Source organism: Homo sapiens, chromosome 7 (assembly GCF_000001405.40).
Source record: "Homo sapiens chromosome 7, GRCh38.p14 Primary Assembly".
In the NCBI taxonomy this organism is placed as follows: Eukaryota; Metazoa; Chordata; class Mammalia; order Primates; family Hominidae; genus Homo; species Homo sapiens.
Window position 1 is genome coordinate 85099000 of NC_000007.14, and position 23679 is coordinate 85122678.

Consider the following 23679-nt stretch of genomic DNA (forward strand, 5'->3'; position numbering starts at 1 on the left):
TGATAGCTCATCCTTTATTAGTGCTAATATTTTGTTGTCTGGATGTACCACAGTTTATTTAAATTTTCACCTACTGAAGGACATCTTCGTTGTTTCCAAGTTTTGGCAAGTATGAATAAAGCAGCCATAAACACCTGTGTGGAGGTTTTTGTGTGGACATAGTGATATGGTTTGGCTGTGTCCCCACCCAAATCTTATCTTGAACTGTAGCTTCCATGATTCCCAAATGTTGTGGGAGGGACCCGGTGGGAGATCATTGAATCATGGGGGTGGTTTCCCCATACTGTTCTCATGGTAGTGAATAAGTCTCATGAGAGCTGATGGTTTTATAAGGGGAAACCCCTTTCACTTGGCTCTCATTCTCTCTTGTCTGCCACCATGTAAGACAGGACTTTTGCCCTCTGCCATGATTGCGAGGCCTCAGCCATGTGGAACTGTGAGTCCATTATACTTCATTTTCTTTATAAATTACCTAATCTCAGGTATGTCTTTATCAGCAGTGTCAAAATGGACTAATACACATAGTTTTCAACTTTGTTGAGTAAATATTATACTAAGGAGCATGACTGTTGGGTCTTCTGTTTAGATTTGTGAGAAACTGCCAAATTGCCTTCCAAAGTGTCTATACCACTTTGCATTTCCACTAGCAATGAATCAGAATTTTTATTGCTCCCTATCTTCATTAGCATTTGGTGGTATCAGTGTTTTCGATTTTGGCCATTCCAATAGGTGTGTAGCAGTATCTTATTGTTTCAATTTGTATTTTGTTGATGCCATATGATATGGAGAATCTTTTCATACGCTTATTTGCCATCTGTATATCTTCCTTGGTGAGATGTCTGTTAAGGCCTTTTGTCCATTTTTAAAAATTAGGTTGTTAGTTTTCTTATCATTGAATTTCAATAGTTCTTTGTATATTTTGGATTATAGTCTTTCATCAGATATATCTTTTGCAAATATTATCTCCAGTCTGCAGCTTGTCTTTCGCCCATCCTAATTTTGATAGTATTTAGATTGATGCCTGTGTTTGGAGAATTGAAGTTTTTCTATTTCATATGTGCAGAAAGATGTAAAGAAAGAAACTGAATCCCAGAAAATGTACTCTGAAAGAGATATGACCCTGAACCAGTAATCCAGTAATGATATCAAAAATTTAATGCTAGAATAGACCTTGAAATTAAATTAATGCAAATGCATAGTTATACAAATGAAGCTCTTTAATCCTTTTCAGGTGAAGTCACATGCCCTAAAGTTACAAAACTACGTAGCAGCAAAGTTGATAATTGAATTGGAGTCTTCAGTGTTGATTTTTCTTTTTTTTTTTTTGACACTTCTCTTTAGGTCCCAATTCTTTGTTTTATTTATAATTGTGATATGCACAGACTCCTATAAGTTATCCAAATCCTTTCACTAGATTTTACCTCAAGTACTTACGATATTATCTTATTTTTTAAATCCTAGAATACTGAATGCTAATAAGGTAATAATATTCATCATTTTATTAAAGCCCATTATATGCTATCTGACTTTTAACCAATTCATTATTTAAAAGTAGCCTATTATTAATTGATGAGAAAGATAAAAAGAGATAATGTCTAGGATATAGGCACTAAGGTAATTCTAAAAAGTATCATGGCAGTTCTAACCTCTGTAAAAATGATATTTGAGTCCCTTAAATATAATGGCCATATATTCCGTCTATCAACAATGGGCTTTATTATTATTTCATATTTTTTAGCATTTCCTTCCTTCTTTTTTTCTACTTTATAACGGTTAAATGTTATTTCTCTTAGTTTCTAAGCTGGGTTTTATCTTAGTTTTTTACAAAGCAAAAGGCAGTATGCTGAAGAAGACATGATATTTGAAATCTCAAATGAGCGTGACTTTACTGAACATAAATGTCTTACTAACATTTATGGATCATGCTTTGTGTATTGGATAGAAGTCTGAAATTGATACTAATTATTTTTCTATTAAGCTAAATACAACTTCAATCATTTTTCAGACTAGAGACCCAATGGTGTAATATATTTTAGCAGTTCCGAATGCAGGGATAATATCCAACAAATACGCCATACTGATTGTAAAGTAGAACTGAGAAGAATGGAACCAAGATAAAAGGTAAACAAATATAATCTAAAGCCTTAACAAGATAATGCATTTCACACAAACCTTATTTCAATCAGGCAATTCTATGTCTTCCATGCAATTTCCCTTATTTAACTAAGACTGAAATCAGCAAAATCAAAAATATGTAAAAGCATTCCCAGGGGTTTATTTTGACCCAACTAGTAGAGTAAGTAGTTTATACAATCGAAATCCTTATTGTTTCAAGTGCCTATGAATAATATTCAATTATTTTGAACCATGCATTGCATTGTTAATTACAAAATGAAATATTACTTCTCATAATGAGTAAGAATATGAATTTTAGGTTCAGGCCACCAGGGCATTATCCTGCCTCCCAACTCACTGGCTATGCAATCTAGAATGAGTCACTTAACCTCTCTGTGTCTCAGTTTCCTCATCTGTAAAGTGAGGATAAAACCGGAAATGATGTGATAAGCCATGTTGGTGTGAGGAATAAACGAGTTAATGCATGATCAGCATTATGAATAGTGTCTGGCACATAGTAAGTGCTATGTATCTATCAGTCATTATAATAACAATGATGTATTTTTAAAAGTCTATACCAAATGTATAAAAAGGAAATCATAATATTTCCCAACTCATATAGTTCTCATGATGATTCAAGGAGGTAATTTATATAAAGTTCTTAGAACCATGCTTGGTAGATAGGAAAAGTCAATAAATATTGTTTTGAGTATGATTATTAAACTCTACTTTGGGCCAAATAAGATATATTTAAAAAGCATGTATCTTATCTTCCATTAAATCAGAATTAGTAAGATAAGAACATCTCTGCATTTTTTATGATAATGGAATAATATTAAAATGCTATTAAATCCACAAATATTTATAAGCATTTAGTGTGTATTAAGTGTTGAGTATGGGGTTAAGGTCGTGAGATTAGTGAGCCTTGTCTGCAAGGGGCTCACAGATCAGTGTGGAACCAGTTATGTATATAAAACACAACATACGTGAAATAAATTCTAATAGAAGTATATATAAAATGTTAAACCTTTCAAATAATTAATTATACATCACCTTCTAAAAGGAGGTGATATTTGAGCACAGCCTTGAAAGACAGATAGAATTTTGAGAGGAAACACATAAAGAAAAATTTGTTCCAGGCAGAATGAACACTAGGCTGTACAGGAACACATGTTACTCCAGGTTGCACGTACATACTGCACTTCTACTATGTCTCCTACTCTGGAGTGTGACCTGTGTCAGGGCAAAGACCATGGTGTAATTATTTTGGAATTCCCAGCACCTAGCTCAGAGTCTGAGACAAATTCAGTGCTTAATAATTGTTTGTATGACTGAGGAAATGTGCTCTGCTGAAATATAGGGACTATGTTGGGTGGAAATAAGTGAGACTAGACATAAAGCCAGCATCTAGATGATTACAGCCTATGATGGCAGGTTGAAGATTTTGGTTATTATGCAGGTGATTTGAAGCTACTAAAATGTTTTATTCAGAAAAGTGGCAACAACTATAGCTGAGTGTTACAAAGATAAGTCTGGCTAAATTATCCAAGTGGATGAGAATGGGGAAAGGTGGGGTCAGGAAGACTATCCAGAGGTTCTGAAACATGGTGAATCCCTGAATTACGGCAATGAGAGGAGGAAAATGTTTAAGAGCTGTTTATGTCATTTTTTTGTCTTTACTTACACAGTGAGAAAAATAAATATAAAGTTGATATAGCCACTTGCTTTATTTTCTTTCATCATAACCAATTCTATGGGGTTTAGTTTCAAACCAACTTTACAAGAAAAAACAGCTGAAAAAACAGTGACTAACCTGGGGTATTATCATTTCCAAATGATTTAACATTGCCCTGTGACAATGCTAGCAGCAAAACGATTAAACATCCTTCAACAATTCATTGTAGCCAAATTAAATAATTAGATTTAGGCATTACATATTAAAATTTCTTAGGCTGACACACACATTATGAAAAGACTTTGGGACAGGGATTGGAACAAGTTCCCTCTTTTCCAACCAGCTTATCTTTCTTGTATTTCTGCCAAACCAAGCAAAGTCATTTTTGTTTCCACAGGATTATCAACCAAAACAGAAAAAAAATTGGTAATTTTAGAGCCTGTATCTTAACACGTAAAGCTAAGACACTCAGTGGATTTCATAAATCAGAAATGGATGCTGGCTCTGCTGGGTTCAAACTCATCAAAGTTGAATAATAATAATTTGGCAATACACTTCAGAGCTTTTTAAAAAAAATTCTAAACTGGAAATTCTTGGGCATGCGATTTTTGAGATTGTCCATAGTTTTAAAGCTTTTTGGACAGGAACTTTGTTTTTTTATTTTTCCCCTTGGGTAAAAGGGTGAGTGTGTTGCTTCACACGTGCCATTGAGAGGAGGCCAGCTCTGTGCTTGGTTAAACAGCCCCACCCTTCCTCGGGATGTCAGCAGCACTTACCTCTAGGTCCTAAATGACTCCTTTGTTTTATCTCCCTAAACCTTTGACCTAATCCACCATAATTCTTCTTTTTCACTGTTCCTTTTAGCAGTGCATTCTCCTATTACCTTGTTCCCAGTTTCTAATCTTAATCACCCAGATGTTCAAATTCCCACTTTTGTTCTAGCAACACAGTTTTGGAAAAAACTACAATCTCATTATTTCCAAAATTAATGAAGCAAGGACACGATTTTTTATTTATCTACTTGCTTAAATATAGAAATCATTGCATATTACAAATTTTGATGGATGGATGACACAGAGAAGATGTTCTTGACCCAGTACCAGTAAACCACCATGGGACAATGAAATGGTTCCGAGGATCGAATTTCATATAAACAACATGAAATTTTCACGTTTGTATGTATGTGTGCATTTTTTGAAGAGTTTCTTCATTTGTCTTTATTAACACCTCTTGATATCTTACCAGAAGTCACAGGGAGAAATATATGTTTTCCACATGTAGTTAGTAATCATATTTAAAATAATTTCCAATTGCTAGCACAAGAAAGTGAGTCACTACCCTCCCAAAATGTGACTTTTGCAGGCAATGACTGACTCATCTAAGAATACCAGGTATCTGCACATGCTGGAAAGACATTGATTACAAGTTTGACACACTCCTGTCCTCATGGAACTCACAGCCTAGTGGAGAGAAAATGTTCATCCACAACAAAAATGAAAATATACTTGTGACAAAGGACAACCATATAACATAGTAGACCATTAAGTATCTCTAATAGTAAAATGGAAATATCTTTTTATCTATATTTCCTTTAGCAAGCCTAATAAAATGAATCTCCTAATTGATAGCCAGATGCTCTGCTATTTAAGGGGAAGGATAAGGATTAGGTAATCTCTGCTCTTATTTGAAATAGTTTTGTTCTAAAAATAATTCTTTGTATCTCCCTTTTAGTGTCCCTTAATACAATTGTTCATTCAGCCTGGGGAAACATTTGACCCGATGGTCTATATTCTTCCTCTTCACCCCAGAAAGGAAGGGAGTGGTGAGTCATATTGAATCTAATAAATTTAGGATTAAGCAACACAGACTTCCTCAGTATTTGAGTGTTAAATGAACAAGATCCTATAACCTTGAAATCTTGCATTTATTGCCAGAGATCCCGAACTGGGTGGAGTTGTCAGTTTCTCTCACGAGAAGACTACATAGATTAAAAAAAAAAGAAAAGAAAAGAAAAGAAAAAAAATGCTTCCCACATCCTTTAAAGAACATTTTATGAAAGACAGAAATTCATGGGGCTAAAAAGAAAATCAGCTTTGGAGAAGCTTAACTTCCAATGTATTCCAATCTAGGGAGTAAAATTCCTCAGCAGAGAAACTTCACAACTAAAAATAGATCCAGATCAAAATACAGTCACCTTTCCCTGCCATCTCAGGATATTCAGCACAAATTATTGCCCTGCCCACTTTTCTTTTTCCTTCAGGAAATAGCAGTTTTATCAGTAGGGCTATTCTCATGTTTCTTTAGTATAGTCAGATCTCCAATGTATTCTCTACAAAGCTGTGTAAGTAAAAACGTTTCTCTTTAAGCCTTTCAGCATCCTTTCTATTTCTGCCTTCCCCCTAAATTCAGCATTTCTCCTCTGATCTCTAAAGTTCCAGGGCTTTTTATGCTGAGTTAGTATCAGAGCATCATTTCTATGGAGTGCCTTCAAAGCTTCTGCCCATAACTTCCAGAAATACTACAGCTTTTTGTCCAAGGCAAGGCATGGATTCTCTCTTAGATTTAACATTGGGAAAATTAGCTCATCTTAACTTGGCATCAGCTGACCTCCAATATGCTTTCTGAGGCTTGAGATCATGTGAAAACGTTCTGTTTATCAAGATAACTCATAATTCCCCTTTAGCAACACAAAAATACCTATGATTCTCCACTGTGTACATTTAGTCTCTAAAGCTAATTGTTCAAAGCATATAAAGAAAAAATATTAGTCAAATCTAAAAGCCCTACAAAAGACTGCTTCAAAATTGCAGGTGAATATTATGTTATTATTATGCTCTCTTAGATATCATTAAGCTATCCACACTAACCATTATTTCCTTGCAAATGCAAGTCCAAATCAGAAAGAACACAAACAAATCAAATTCTCTTGCTTTTCTGTGATGGAATGTTATAGATCATTCTGTTCATTGGTCTTAGAACATTACCTATATCAATAATAAAACAGATGATATCACATAGGGAAACATAAATTAGAAACAAATTAAGCTTATTATGTCATGGGGTCTGTGTTCTTGCCAAGACAGGTTGTGGAGTAGGAGTGTGGCAATTACTCATGGTCACATTTCTATCACATCCATACTTTTAAATTACATTTTGTTCTTATTTGGCCAGCTTTCAATAGTGGATGCTTTATATAATCCATCATTGTGAGATTTATCATTTATAGTTACGGAGTAAATTCATACTTTGAATGAGTCCTTTTAAATTTTCAAAAGCTTTGCTGGGATCTTTTTTCCTATTGACCTGTAAAAAAGTTAGTATTATAAATATCTAGTACATTTCCAGAAAAGCAATGTCACGATGGAATAAACTTCCTGGAAAAAAGTTGAGAGTATCATTCTGAGCACGATTGATACTACTTTTACAATTGCTTCATAGCTTCCTTCAAGTTATTCAGAATTTCTCCTTCTTCAAGTTACAAAGAATGTTTAAAATTAAACGCCATGTCACACATATTTGGTATTTGTTTCAATCAAGTATATAAATTTAATGTAGAAAACATCGGAAGGTCTTAACTTAATACAACATCTATTATTGACTCCAAGTAATAGACAAATACGACAATATGACAAGACAAATAATTCCTCAAACTAAGATCACTATAAATTAAGGAATAAAGCAAAAAGTTATGTGTGTAATATAAAACAGATAACATTATTTTATAACAATATTGTTTTATAAAATTAATTCTATTAAAATCAAGTATATGTATATCAAAAAATAATGTTAAAAGGCATATGTGAAACTTCTCAATTGTGACAGTCACAGCTGAGATGTCTCATGCCATCTGTAGTAGTCTGTCCTCAAACTGCTGTGAAGAAATACCCGAGTCTGGGCAATTTATAAAGAAAAACTGGTTTAATTAACTCACAGTTCCGTATGGCTGGGGAGGCCTCAGGAAACTTACAATCATGGTGGAAGCCACCTCTTCACAGGGCAGCAGGATGAAAAATGAGTGCAAGCAGGGGAAATGCCAGATGCTTATAAAACCATCAGACCTCATGACAACTCACTCACTAAGAGGAGAAAAGCATGGGGGAAACCGCCCTCATGATTCAATTACCTCCCACCAGATCCCTCACAGGACACGTGGGGATTACGGGAACTACAATTCAAGGTGAGGTTTGGGTGGCAACACAGTCACACCATATCACCATTTGTATTTCCAAGACTTTGAATGTGTCTTCTCTTTTTCTTGGAAGCTGTTCAAATCACACCCTCTCTCGGTATTATGAAATTTAAAATAATTTGCCAGAATATATATATGTGTGTGTATATATGTGTAAAACTGATCATTGATCATTGCTCATACTGGGCACTCAGTGTGACATTTTATCTAAAATTCAATTTTCATAGATTCAAGAAAATTTCAGTTTGGCTTTTCATCTAAAACAAATAAATGTCAATCATCTGTGAGACTTTTCTCTAGGTTTTCTCCAGATGAAAGTTCTTAATCACTTGCCCAAGGAGCATCATCTGGTAAAGGTGTGCAGAGAATTTGCATCAGAACTTGCACATACACTTTCAAGAGGGAAATTTAAAAATATCATCATGTAATATTGTTCTCTTCGATTTCAGGTACTATTCAGCAGGTATAAGCAATGAGAAAATGCTTTCCATTTTTACATTATCTTCCTTAGTTTCTCTCCCATAAATTGTTAGTTCTCTGCTGATGACTTCAAAATACACACCCACAACCCCATCATCTCTCCCAAGTGTTGCAGTTTAGAATTTGCCACAGCTTGCTACGTATTGTCAATTTTTCCTCCAATCATCTGATCTCATTGATTTTAATGACTTCAATGAAATGATCTAATCCTCAGGCTCAACATTTCTGAATCACTTTTAGTTTTTCTTCCTTACTCTTCTTTCCTCTGTTTATATAATCCATCACTTTAAGTCTGTTTAACCCCCCTCACACAACATCCAGCTAAATTTAAAGCCTTATAGATTTTATCAAGCAAGTTTTCTATTCTCCGTTCTTGAATATATTTATTCCTACTGCCCGCCATATTACTACTTCTCTAAATTACTGTAACAGGTTCATAAATTATCTTTTGCTACACCTGCTCTCCCACCAGTCTCTCCCACGTGATGCTGCCTATTTCATTTTCCCCCAATCACAATTAAATTAGGTCAATTTCATGATGAAAATACTCCAATACCAACATATGCTTCATTGAATAAATTTTAAACTTCCTCCAGTGCTCAAAGTTCAATTTCATATCCAAATTCTTCTAAATAATTTTAAAATTTTGGTTTTATTTATACTATGGCACTGGTATTTTTGCAATTATTTTGTCTATTTATTTTGTCCCTTAAAAACACTAGAAGCCCTTGAAGATAAAAATAATGTCTAAATCATTTCTGTATTTCAACACCACCTCTTATACATAAGTCTAATAAAGCTTTAACTCACAGTATTTTAAACTACTGATTTTTGTTTGCCTTGGTTTATCTACCTTTGATCTAAATCAGGATTTATTGCCATCTTATTAATAATTTAGAGAAGTTAATGTGCTATTTAGAGACCCAATTGTGATAATGCTTTGCAGTCACAAGGGGTTCCTTTTCTAATCTTCATATTCTCACATGAATCATGGGAACCCTAGAACATTACTTTTCAGGGTGTAACATGCATTCGAGGATTCTTGTTGAAATACAGATGTTTTTGTTTAGAAGTCACAGAGTATGTCTGAGATTCTGCATTTCAAACAAGATTTCAGATTTTGCTGATACAACTGCAGCTTGAACCACACCTGGAGTAGAAAGGTTTAAAATACACTGTGCCCCTGTTATTCTCAGCTTGCCTGCATTAAAGAGCTGAATTCCTTCATTCTTCCTCACACTAGAATTTCTCTCAAACCTTTACCTCGTGGTGTGTGTTAATTTATGCAATGTGGCCACAGTATTTTTTTCTGTTACAATTCTAAATTGGTCAAATTTGTACATCTCTAACTAGCTTATTCCTTAATTGCTAGAAGTGATCAATGACCTGTTTAGTTTAAACCAATGATATATAAGCTTTTTCCCCTCAGCTTTTTTTTCATACAAAGAAGTGAAGTACAATAATTTAACATGCATTTACTTGAAAAAAAAAGGTGTCAAGATGAGGACGCATTGTAGACTTTCATTTCAAATATCTTTGCTGTTATCTGTGGTAGCAAAAATTCTACCCAAGATGCTCAACTACAATTATATTCTTAAATACCTTAAATTTTCTTCATATATTCCTTCAATTAATTAAAAACATGTATGGTCTGTCTTTGAAATCTGTCACAACCTCCATTTTGTGGTTTGTAACATCTGAGGAACTTTCCCATTTATTATTTAATTTGATCCCCAAGAAGAACTTAATTTCCAGATGAGAAAACCTAGACTCAGAAAGACAATTAATTATTCTAATGGTACATAGACTGTTCATGTGACAGAAAGAGCTCAAACCTATCTTTATCTTCTAATTCTAAGCCCCATCACCCATTACAGCTATATTTTATATTTTAATGTTTAGCATTACTTAGATAAACAAGATTCTTTTTCAAAAGGTCTCTACTTATATTTCCACTGAATATTCCGACAGGTTCACTTCTATTGCTTCTTCTACTTCACCACTCCATCGGGATTACTGAAGTATTTATCTTAATTTCCAAACTGTTTCTGGCTCACTGTGGCTTTAGTCAAATAAACCCCTTTATGACCATCTTTATAAATAAAAAGGACTTTCGTTCTAATTTATGCCTCTTTTGAATTAGTTGGATTAAAGCAGTATGTTTAAAGGATTATTACAAAAATGCAAACTGTATATTACTAGTTCTTAAGAAATCAGAGAAGTGTTTTTCAAATCTTCTGTTTAAAAAAGACCTAAGGACATTATTTTTAAAACTGTCATTGAATTTATATTCATACACATGTACGGAAAAATCTCACTGTGAAAATTCCTTTAATAAGGCTCAAGAAATTAGAGACAAATTTAGGGAAGTTGAATTATGAAATGAGCAGTTGCACATAAAAACTTTTGCTCCTCAATAGTTTATAGAATAGTAAACCAATTGCTTACAAGATCTATTCAAAAAGAGTTTTCCACCAAAACATAATTGACTGGATTTTATCCCAATAAAAATTGCCTTTAGACAAACCATGCCCTTTCTAAAATTATTTCCACATTTATGCAAAAACAAAGACACAACCCAAGTGCCTCAAGGCTGAGCTCTCTTTTACCCTGCTAGGAGAACATAGATGATCACTGTAGCCCTTAGTGATTTTTATGTATCTTCTTAATTCCAGGAAGGCTTCTTGTATGTTTGCATGGCAATAGTGCATCATATATTACCTTATATTATTTTGTCACTTCCACCACTCTGTGAAGCTCCATAGACCAATAATGTTTAGAGCAATGTTCCATATACAATGTTAAATGGATTGCAATTATTATCATATAAAGGGGTTGCATACAGGTAAGTTGTATTAATAATACAAACACAATTTTACTAAAAAAGAGTGGGCTTAGATCTGAACATCAGTTTTTTAAATTATCTACTTATGTGACCCTAGCATTATTATTTAATCTTTCTGGATTTCTGTTTCCAAATCTTTACATATTAATCTCCTAAACATATATAGTGCCTACAGCCTGTATCATATCATACTTAAACATTCCTCCTTGAAAACTTTTTTATGTTTAACCTAGCTTTCCTTCTAGATAACAGTTGCAACTGATAATGAACAAGATGCATTTATTATGCAAAATAAGCCACTTTTATTAATACATGTTCTAAATGTACCCTGTTTTTAGGAAAAATAATCTCATCAATACTGTCTTCAATAAGGTGTAGATTATCCGGCATGTCTCCTGTATTACCAATTATTCTTCTTCTAGATTATTTCAATTAAAATACAAATATGCTGTTATTTCTTGCATTAAAACAAGTCTCTTGATCTCTTTGCTTCTCCAGCTAATGCCTATATCACAATTGTCAAAAATTTCCTTAAGAGAATTATCTATAGTCAATGTCTCCAGTCCCATGCTCTCAAGAATCCATCTTAATCGGGCTTTGGCTGTCACACTCACATGCTGCTTTTATCAAAGTCAACAGTGAGGTCTGTTAAATTTAATGTTACTTTTTAGTTGTCATCTCTCTAGACATATTAGCTGACTTTGACACCACTGATTATCTCTTTCCTTTTACTTTTTTCATTTAACAACTTCTATACTAGAACTCCTAATTTTTCTCCTATATACCTGGGCATTCCTTTTCAGTTCACTTTGCAGTTAATTCTTCCTTTCTCTGATCTCCTGACTTGATAGTATACCAGAAGCCAATCTTTTGAATTCTGCTTCATCCCTTAATTATTTCACAGTCTTGTAGATTTAAAAATTTCTATATGTTAATGGCCAAACTCATATCTCCAATTGACATCTCCGTGAACTTCAGGGTTATATATGTACTCAAATGCCTTCTTGGCATCTCACTTAGGTGTCTAATACCCTTCTCAAATAAAATATGTCCACTTGATCTTCCCACAAAACGACTTCTTCCACAGTATTTCCCACTTTAATTAATGGTAGCTCCACCTGTAGACCACAACAAAACAAAACAAAACCACAAAAGCCATGGAGTCATCTTTGACTTCTCTCTCACTTTGTATTCAGCTCATCAGCAAATCCTGTTGGCTCTATCTTTGTGTATCCACTCCTATCACTTTGTGCCACAGACCATTAATTCTCACATGAATTATTACAATAGCCTCAAACTTGGCTCCCTATTTCTCGATCTCTTTCTTTCTGTGTATTGTCAACATAGAAATCAGAATGATTCTATTATTCTGAGAGTCAGATCATGTCAGACTGTGCTCAAAATTCTCCAGTGGATTCCCATAATACTCAGACTAAATGCCAGCAGTAGAAGATCTAATCCCTCCTCTCTCCTGTTAATTGTCTATTTAGTCAATTTTCTTCTTTCTCCCATCCCACTATTTGTTTAGCCATACCATCTTCTTTAGGATCCTTACACATGCCAGACACACTTTCACTCCAGGGCCTTTGCACTTGATGTTCTTTCTGCAAAAATATTCCTGATATCTGCATGACTAGCTTAAGCATTTGTGAAAATATTCTCTCAGTAAGCGCTTTCCTGACCACAATATTTGATTACTACATACCCACCACTACTGAGCTCCCTGTCTTGATTCATTTTTCTCCATAGTGTTGGTCACTTTCCATCTTGCTAAATAATTCACTGCTATATCATACTGAATCCAGATAAAATACATATTATTAGATGTATCAAAACAAATCAATACAAATCAAACAAATCAAACAAGTTTAGATGAGTTAATAACTGACATCTCTACTTGAGACACATGCTTAATTTCACAGCTAAATAATTTGTAAATTACAGAAAAAGATATAGCCTTACTTATTCATTTTTTAGAAAATTCTGATTAAACAAAGAACCATTCTATCAGATACATTAATCCCTAGTTATAAGATAGGCAAATAAAAATTCAAAAAGGAATTTTGAAGTTTTTCTTGTCAATGAATATACGTTTAAGAAATGTGGGAGGTTCAAAACATAATTACTGCTATTAGAAGTTATTGAAAATAGCTTGCTGCTAAAGAACTAATGGTAAAACCTTGTTATTTTTTATATCTTAATATTTATCCTCTTGAAAATGCAATGTTTTCCTCAAGGGCATGGCAAGTTGACAATAACATGGGCCTTGAACTAGATAAATAAAAGCACACAGCTTGGTTGTGCTATTTAATAGCTTTTTGCTTTTGGGCAAGAGATTCAGGGTCTGAGCCTCAAGTATCTTATCTATAAAATAGGTATGAAAACAATGGGTATAAAAACAATGTTGTGAGACTTATACATGATAAAGTCTGAATAGTGTACCTGGGCCCAGTCATTCTCTGGCTTTATAGCCTTGATAGCACTTAGCACTGTCTGAAATGATATTCACCTGTTTGTTTGCTTCTTCACTGTTTGTCTCCCTAACTGAAAAATAAGTTCAAATGAGACAATGACTTTTATCTAAAACAATGCCTGGTAAATAATGATTCCTTATTACATATTTGTAGAATGGGTGAATATATGGTAAATACTAGATGAGTTACTTTTCTTGCTGATGACTTATACCTATCTCATCTTCTGGAGTTTTCCAAACAAATAACATTACAGACACCAGTGATTCCTGAGTATAAATATCCCCAACACATTCAAAGTCCTTAGTGATGATGGCGAGATAGAAAATACATTATTGTGCAATTTAAGAAGATCATCTCTCAAAAATTATTTTTACAATTGCAGCGTAAACTGTAGAAGTCACTATGAGAAGCCCAATTTGTAGGACAATATTTATAGTAATAATCATATAATACGAAACCTGGAAATATAGAACATTCTGACCTCCATGATTCCTTACTTATTATTCAGGAAAAAAATTTGGTAGTCATAAATATGCGAGAATTCGCCACATGAACTGAAGGGAAATTTCTTTGCACAACAATAGAATCAAACAACCAAGCTCCTATGGATTCAGAGGTTCTAAGTTAAGTCTTCATTAAAGAGTATTATTTGGATAAAATGGTTATTACAACTCTATTGTTGTTTAAGAAATACTTTAAGAAATTCCTCAATGGGCCGGGCGCGGTGGTTCATGCCTGTAATCCCAGTACTTTGGGAGGCCGAGGTGGGCAGATCACGAGATCAAGAGATGGAGACCATCCTGACCAACATGGTAAAACGCCATCTCTACTAAAAATACAAAAATTAGCTGGGCTTGGTGGCACGCGCCAGTAGTCCCAGCTATTCGGGAGGCTGAGGCAGGAGAATCGCTTGAACCCAGGAGGTGGAGTTTGCAGTGAGCCGAGATCGTGCCACTGCACTCCAGCCTGGTGACAGAGTGATATTCTGTCTCAAAAAAAGAAAAAAAAGAAAGAAAGAGAAAAAAGGAAAGAAATCCGTTAATATTATCTTGCAGCTATTCCAAGTAGCTAACTACTACCAGAGATACTGCCTGCAACTTGGGTTTACACTGAGAAGGTATGAATTATGGAAAGCAAAGAAAACAAAGCTAATTTTATGCCCATAAAAGTTAATTATTTTTAAAACCAATATTATTTTTTATTTTGGCTGATTATTTTTAACCTCACATTCTACCAGTGTGTTAGTGCCCAAGAATAACCTTTCAGACTCTCAATACTATCTAAGCAAAGGTTAGTGCCAGCTGATCTCAAGTCAATAAGTTGTCATGAGAGACAAAATGAAAATGTCAAGGGAATGTTGTGATTCTTACTTCAGAAGCAGGAACGTGGTATATAAGCAATTTGCCCCACCATAACACAAAATTAATGGTAATTTTTGTGTCATAGCTTTTTAAAATTCAGGAAAAGAGTTTTAAAAGGTGGTATGGCAGGATTTGAGCTACTTTACTTCTAAAGTGCTTGATTTTATAAAGAAGAGGTAGATAGGAAAACTTGAAATTTTTGGAAGTGAATGGGAAATATACGCTTCATAGTGTTGAACAATTGTGATTTCCAAAATGAAGACTCTGCATTCTTTAAAATGGTTCAGCATTCCTTAAAATGGTGTGCTGTGAGCAGCAAAGGATTATCAATAATTCTCTTAACAAAGGTGACTACTCTATTATTAGCATACAACCTAGAAATGACTCATAGTAGCCCTGGAGAGCTGGTAGGGAAGTATGGGTGTGTGCTGAGGGTGTGTTGGAAGATATCTAGGATTTCTATCCTGCATTCAGTCTCTGCTTCTGATTACCAGCCTTTGACATGCAGACAACCTAAAACATCTGAAAAAATTATAAATTTGAAACGAATACTGAATATAAGAAGCATCAAAAGCGTAGAGCTTTTTGCGTTTAATCCAAGAAAAACATATCAATTCTCCTTATATATAAGAATAAGGGCTGAGATGAATGAAAATTTAGAGAAAGATAAATAAAACAAGATTTTTAATCCTTACAGAGTTGGCTCTAAGGCCAAAAACATACATTAATACAAGCTATTATTTTCAGATGATAATTTATATATTTGATTTAATATTAATAATCACTTTTCTATGAAATTTTGATTACAAAGACAATTTATCACAATTGACTTTAAAAAAATAAGTTTAGCAAAGGGCATAAAATCCTACAAAAATCAAATAATCTTTTTGGCTACCCAGTGATCTTAAAGAGTACATGTAATCTTCTTCAACTTCATTTAATGTTTACAGTTGAAAATCACATAATCAGTTTTGGTCAAATATCAGCATGATGATTCTGTATATTTATTCACTATGACAGGTAAATGCCTCAGGAAAGAAATACTTATGTCTACAGTGAGCAAGACAGGGCTAGCATCCTAGGCTGTAAGTAGACTGGGGTTGACTCAGGAGTTGAACCACGAATTAAATTTGTGATCCTGGCAAACTGCTCAATCTCTCAGTATCTCGGTATCCTCATACATAAGAAAGGGGTGATAATACTCATCTCACAGAGAGGTAATGAGATAATTCACACTCAGTCCTTATGCCAATGTTTTGCTCAATATGAATCTTCAGTGAATATTATCAGTTATTAAAATTTATTTGCAAGTGTGATGTTTGCATTACCCACGTTTGTCAATGCAGTGTTTCTGTGATATTCACTGTATTAAAGAAACCGGAGTTTCCCTTTTTATGTCTTCAATTCCTTTAGTTCAAACTTTCCATATCTTTTTTTATTCCTTGGATTTTAATATTTGTTTTCTATTCTTTTTCTTTTTAAGGCAGTATTATATATAGTCAAATGGACAGACCTTACATGTGCAATTTAATGAGTTGTGACAAATCTGTACACTTAGGCATTCAACATCCCTATCAGGATAGAAAACACTTCTATACTCTCAGAAAATTTCCTCTCATGCCCCTCTCAGTCAATCCTCTCTGCCCCCCAACAACAAAGGCAACTGTTATCATATTTTTAAACCGTTGATTAGTTTGGCCTGTTCTAGAACTTCAAATGAATGGTAAGTGCATGTTTAATAGTATAAGAAACTACCAAAAAAATTTTCCAACTTAACTCTTGCATTAGCAATGTTTCCAAGCTTAAATTTTTCCACAGATTCACAAATATTTGATATAGTCAGTGTTTCATGTTTTTAGCTATTCCAACAGATATATAGGAGTATTTCATTGTAATATTAATTTGTATTTACCCAATGACTCATGAGGTCCAGCATTTTTAAGTGTTTATTTGTCATGAATATGTTTGTGAAGTGTCTGAATAAGTACTTTACCCTATATAAACTTGTTTTCTATTATCAATTTGTTTCAGAGAGAGAGATATATAAAACTATATATGTATATATGCACATATACATATATAAATACATATATGTACATACCTATATAAATTGTATATATAATTGCATATGTATACAATTGTATACATATACAATTTATATATGTATATATTTATATATATTTATATAAATGTATATATTTATGTATATTTATATATTATAATATATTTATATATATTTATATAAATATATACATAAATATATACATATACAATTTATATAGGTATATATTTACATATGTATATACATATATAAATACATATATATACACCTATATAAATTGTTTTATATAGGTGTATATATGTATGTATGCATGTATGTATTCTGGATTCAAATCTTTGCTCAGATATATTTTGTGAATATTTTGTAGCTTGCCTATTCCTCTTATTGATGTCTTTGGTAAACAGAATTTTGTTTCACTTATGCTGATATCTAGTTTAAAAAGTATTTATGGTTATTGTTTTTGTGTCCTAAGACATTTTTGCTTACTCTGAGGTTCCAAAGATATTATTCCATGTTATATTCTAGAAGTTTTAGTATCTGAGCTTTGACTTTTTGGTCTATGATCCATCTTGAATCATTTTCTGTGTATGGTATAGAGTGAAGATTGAGGTTCATTTTTTTCCATGTTGATATCAAGTTGCTCCTGCACCATTTGCTTTCCACACTGATTTGCATAGGTGTCTTTTATAAAAAGTAAAAGATTGTATAAAAGTTAGTTGTGGCTGTTTGTGTTTTACAGTGATATACACAATACCTCCCATGCCACAGTTCCTTACATATGTGACTTCAACACTACTATCATTGAGAAATATAGTCTTTGTGCTCTCCTTTTAAAATTGAGTAAGGCTTTCTCATGTTGCAACCAATAGAATACTCTGGAACTAATACCATGTAACTTCTGAAGCTACGTATAAAAAGGCAATGAAACTTCCTCTTTGTTTGTTTAAATATACGCACTTGAGGCCCTGAGCAAGCCCAAACTACCGAAGTGAAAAGACTCCCTTGGAGAAACCTGAGGATACATGAAGGAAGAGATGCCAGCCAGATCCTTACTGCTACAACTGCAGCTGTCGTCTGATTACAACTCCATTAAAGAGTACAAACCAGAACCACCCAGCTAAGCCTTTCCAAATTCTTGACCCAGAGAAACTGAGGGATATAGTAATTGTTTTATTAAGGGAATGAGTTTTATGATGGCTTGTTATACAGCAATAGTTATCCAAATTACATTTTGGTTTTAGAAATGGGCACTGCCATAACAAAACCTAAAACCTTTGGCTTTAAAGATTATCTTTTGGCCAGGTAAGGTGGCTCACTCCTATAAGCCCAGCATTTTGGGAAACTAAGGCAGGCAGATTGCCTGAGCCCAGGAGACAAGCCTGGGCAACATGGTGAAACTCCGTCTCTACAAAAAATACAAAAATTAGCCATGCCTGATGGCTCATGCTTGTAGTCCCAGCTACTCAGGAGGCTGAGATGGGAGGATTACTTGAGCTTAGGAGGCCGAGGCTGCAGTGATCCAAGATCTTGCCACTGTACTTGAGCGTGGGAGACAGAGCAAGAGTATGTATGTATGTATGTATGTATGTATGTATGTATGTATGTATGTATCTATCTACCATATATATAGATACTATATATAGATACATATACATAATACATATAGATATAAAAATATATCTTTTTGTAGATATATATAGATATAAATATATAGATATCTTTTTAAAACAATAGAGCTTGTAAGAATTTAAAGATATAATCCCATGATAGTCACACAAAGAGCATAAGGAATACAAAAGAACTTTCTAGATATGGCTCCAGTTTAATGGAATATCTTATAAATTGACATGTAAAAACTCAGGTGTTCTTTTTATTGGATGATCCCTATTTCTCTGTCTTCAGGTTTACTGAATGTTGTTCTGCTATCTCCAATCTTTAATTCATGCAGTAAGTTTTTAATTTCAGATATAATTTTCATTACTGGAGTTTTCATTATTTTTGTTAATACATTTCACTTATCTATTGAGATTCCATATCTGCTTATTCCTTTTGATATCGTTTTCTTTTAAATTCTTGAACATATTTATGATAGCTATTTTAAAATCTTTGTCAGCTAATGTGAACATCTGCATCACTTCAATTTGCCTTCCATTAACTGCATGTTTTCCTTGTTATTAAATTTTCCTGTTTTTTTGTATGTCTAGTATGTTTTTATTGTATCTGGACATTATGGATATTAAATTGTTGAGAATATGGTTGATTTGGGTTTTCTTATTTTAAAAATTGTTGAGATTTTTTTCTGGCAGATATTGAGTTTACTGGAAGATCATTTCAATCCTTTTGAGACTTAGTTTCATGTTTTTTAAGGCAGGACTAAAGTATCCCTTACAGTAGGAATAGAACAGCTGAGCTCTTATAATGTGACCCTTGTAAATTTGTTTAAGTTCCTCATAGATGCTTTATATTAGATGTTTGTCAGGTGCATAGTTTGCAACAATTTTCTCTGATTCTGTAGGTTGTCTGTTGACTCAAGCCTGCTAACTCACTGTCAACTGTTGACAGTTTCTTTTGCTGTTCGGATGCTCCTTAGTTTAATGAGATCCAATTTGTCAATTTTTGCTTTTGTTGCAATTGCTTTTGGCAACTTCTTCATGAACTCTTTGCCCATGTGCTGAATGGTATTGCTTAGGTTGTCTTTCAGGGTTTTTATAGTTTTAAATAAACAACACCACTAAAAGGTGGGCAAAGGACATGAACAGACACTTTTCAAGAGAACACATACATGTGGGCAACAATCATGTGAAAAAAAAAACTCAACATCATTGATCATTACAGAAATACAAATCAAAACCACAACAAGATACCATCTCACACTATTCAGTCAGAATGGCTATTATATAAAAAGTCAAAAATAACAGATGCTGGCAAGGTTGTGGAGAAAACGGAATGCTTATACACTGTTTGTGGGAGTGTAAATTAGTTTAACCATTGTGGAAGACAGTGTGGCAATTTCTCAAAGATCTAAAGACAGAAATACCATTAGAACCTGCAATCCCATTACTGGGTATATACCCCCAAAATATAAATCTTTCTATTATAAAGACACATGCATTTGTATGTTCATTGCAGCACTATTCACATTAGCAAAGACATGGAATCAACCTAAATGCCCATCAATGATAGACTGGATAAAGAAAATGTGGTACATACATACCCTGGAATACTATGCAGCCATAAAAAAGAACGAGATCATGTTCTTTGCAGGGACATGGATAGAACTGGAGGCCATTATCCTTAACCTACTAATGGAGGGGAAAAAATACTGCATACTCTCACTTATAAGTGGGAACTAACCAATGACAACACGTGGACACCTAGAGGGGAATAATACACCCTGGGGACTATCAGAGCATGGAGGTAGGGAGCAGGGAGAGGATCAGGAAAAATAACTAATGGGTACAAGTTTTGATACCTGTTTGACGAAATAATCTGCACAACAAACCTCCACGACACAACTTGCCTATGTAACAAACCTGGGCATGCACCCTTGAACTTAAAATAAAAATTAAAAAACAAAATTACCCTTGCAGCATGTCACCTGAGTGCCCCAGGTTTGGTAAACTTTTAAAATTCTGGGTGGGCAGAACTGCTATATCATTCAGCACTCCTTGACCTCCAATATTTCAGCTCAATATCTTGGCTCAGCTCACAAATTCCCCGTTTGCCCCAAACCCTTTCCGAGTCGCACCATTAAGTGAATTTTTTTTTTTTTTTTTTAGAGACAGGGTCTTGCATACAATGATGCAGTCCTAGCTCACTGCAGTCAAACTCCTGGGCTCAAGCAATCCTCTCGCTTCAGCCTCTTGAATAGCTGGGATTATAGGCATGTACAACTGGTGGTTTATTTCTTTCATCTTTGCTGCCTATTGCTCAATATCTAAAAATAGTTGCTTCATGTAGTTTATCTAGTTGAAGAGTTGTTTATGGAAGAAGGTATAATTCAATACTATTTATACTGGCAAGGTTAAAAGCCTTGACTTTGTTTTTAATTTATAGCCTAAACCTTACCAAAACTGTTAATGTTCACTTGAAACTAAGATAATTTTAGGGGAATGACAGAAAATTGAATATATCTATGATTAAGAAATGGAAGACATTCAAATACAGGTTTTAGTTATCGATTGTGGCCAGGCGAGTTGGCTCACTCCTATAATCCTAGCACTTTGGGAGGCTGAGGTGGGCAGATCACTTGAGGTCAGGGGTTTGAGACCAGCCTGGCCAACACGGTGAAACCCCATCTCTACTAAAGATACAAAAATTAACCAAGCATGGTGGTGGGCACCTGTAATCCCAGCTACTCAGGAGGCTGAGGTGGGAGAGTCGCTTGAACCCAGGAGGCGGAGGTTGCAGTGAGCCGAGATCATGCCCTGCCCACCAGCCTGGGCAACAGAATGAGACTTCATCTCAAAAAAAAAAAAAAAAAGGTTTTAATTATTGATTAAATAAGACATCAATAAATGATATTTCATAATGTGATCAATTTTTCCAGATAAAAACGTCCTAGATTACCAAAAAATATACTTCCAATTTAAATGAGTTTGATACATATAAATACATAAGAACTCAAAAATACATAAATTATTGTTTAACTCTTTAATACATGACATATATTCTGTACAAATACCAACATATAAAATTTATAATGGATATAATGTGCTAATTCAACTTACTCTTAGATTTGACATCCAATTTGCTTTTATTATTGGTATTTCGTTTGTCTATAAAATGTGATCTTAAAGATATCAGAGGATATTCAAATTGCCAGCATAATTTTTGCCTATCACATTGAGAATAAAGAAGTTTTATTCTCCCTACATCCCTTTTATTTCTTGAGGTATTAATGAAGCCCGGAGTACATCAAAAAGGAAAACTAAAGTAAAAACTATTTGGGCGTGAAACTGGACACAGACACACACAAAGTTGACCAACCATAATTCATATAAACTTTGCTTTTATATCAAACATTTAAAAACAACTAGCTTAGCAGATTTCATTTCTTAGAAAATTGTTTCATCTTTTTTATATTTAAACCTTTCACATTGTCTTTTTCTATTACCAAGTACATATATAGTTGAGAACTTGAAGCTATCCTGCTGTCTTAAATTCTTTTTGAAGATACCTTACTGTGTTTTAAAAAAAATCCCCTCTAACTAGGAATAAACTAGTAAGAGTTATATGAAATGTGTTAACATTTTTCTATTTTTAGGAATTTATTTGTTTTAACACCAAACTGTTTACCACTTGCAGATCAAATTGAATATTATAAATACTGGGCTGAAAAGGGTACTTGAATAGCTTTAGCATCTTTTTCCTCACAAAAATGAGTAATTGGGCTTCGTGTTCTATAATTCTATTTTTATGAACTGATGCCAAAACATTTCACAGAAGTCAATATGCTTTTCTAAAAAGAAAAAATATAGCAATCAAAAAAGACATTTCAAAATCTTAATAAACAATTTAGAAAATATGTATATATTTACCTTTGTAGGTTAGCTTGAGTCTTGGAATATTTTGCTTCAAAGTGCCAGTGACTGGAAGAAACAACATGGTCATGCTTAGCATCATCAAAGCAGGAAAAAGGTGAAAATCTTGGCTTCTGGCTTTAAGTCTTTCATCTTTATTAGCATTCATGATGAAAACAATGTTCTCTTTCAAATGGTGTTAATTTAATCTAAAAAAGAGTAAAAAAAAAAAAACTATTAAGGTATCAGCAAACTGACACAGGAAGAGAAAACCAAATACCATATCATCTCACTCTTAAGTGGGAGTTGAACAATGAGAACACATGGACACAGGGAGGGGAACATAGCATACCAGGGCCTGTTGGGGGCTGGGGGCTGGGGGAGGGAGAGCATTAGGAGAAATACCTAATGTAGATGACAGGTTGATGGGTGCAGCAAACCACCATGGCACGTGTACACCTATGTAAGAAACCTGCACGTTTTGCACATGTATCCCAGAACTTAAAGTACAAAAAAAAAAAACTATTAAGATAACAATTGGTAGACTTTCCTCAACTTACTAAATTATAATGTTCTGAATGTATATAGATTTTTAAAAATAATTTTCCCATCGCTCTTGTTTTACTCTTATAGAAATGAATCAGAACTGGGGAATAAAATTAAGGACTGGCTTTGCTCAGATGTAGAAATAAATGCACCACAAGAATTTAAACTATTTTGTTATTTAACATTTTTTCCTTGACTAAAGTTGTTTTTGTGTTTTGTTTAAGCAAATATCTGAAGAACCAACTTTTGTCGAAACTTGAATTATTTGATCAGACGAGACCACTTTCACTGGTAGAAGCCTATACGTGCCCCATATCATCCCCAAATGAAAAGATCCACCAACTAAAACAGACAAAAGCTGTCATTTTGAGACAAGTTCTCTTGTTTCTGAGTTTAGAGACATCTAAAAA

At 33.8% G+C, this 23679-nt stretch overlaps 1 protein-coding gene across 7 annotated transcripts in view; it reads right to left on the reverse strand.

The window, feature by feature from the left end:
- The window catches only part of SEMA3D (semaphorin 3D), a 254691-nt gene that overhangs the window by 103447 nt on the left and 127565 nt on the right, over positions 1-23679 (reverse strand). For 6 of the 7 annotated variants that reach the window (NM_001384901.1, NM_001384903.1, NM_001384902.1 and 3 more), the window contains one exon: positions 22742-22932. In NM_001384901.1, coding sequence (NP_001371830.1) covers positions 22742-22892 — 151 coding nt within the window. In that variant the 5' untranslated portion in view covers positions 22893-22932. Of the gene's footprint in view, positions 1-7721; positions 7808-22741; positions 22933-23679 lie in introns of those variants that run through there. The other variant, XM_011515961.3, reaches the window with a different exon arrangement.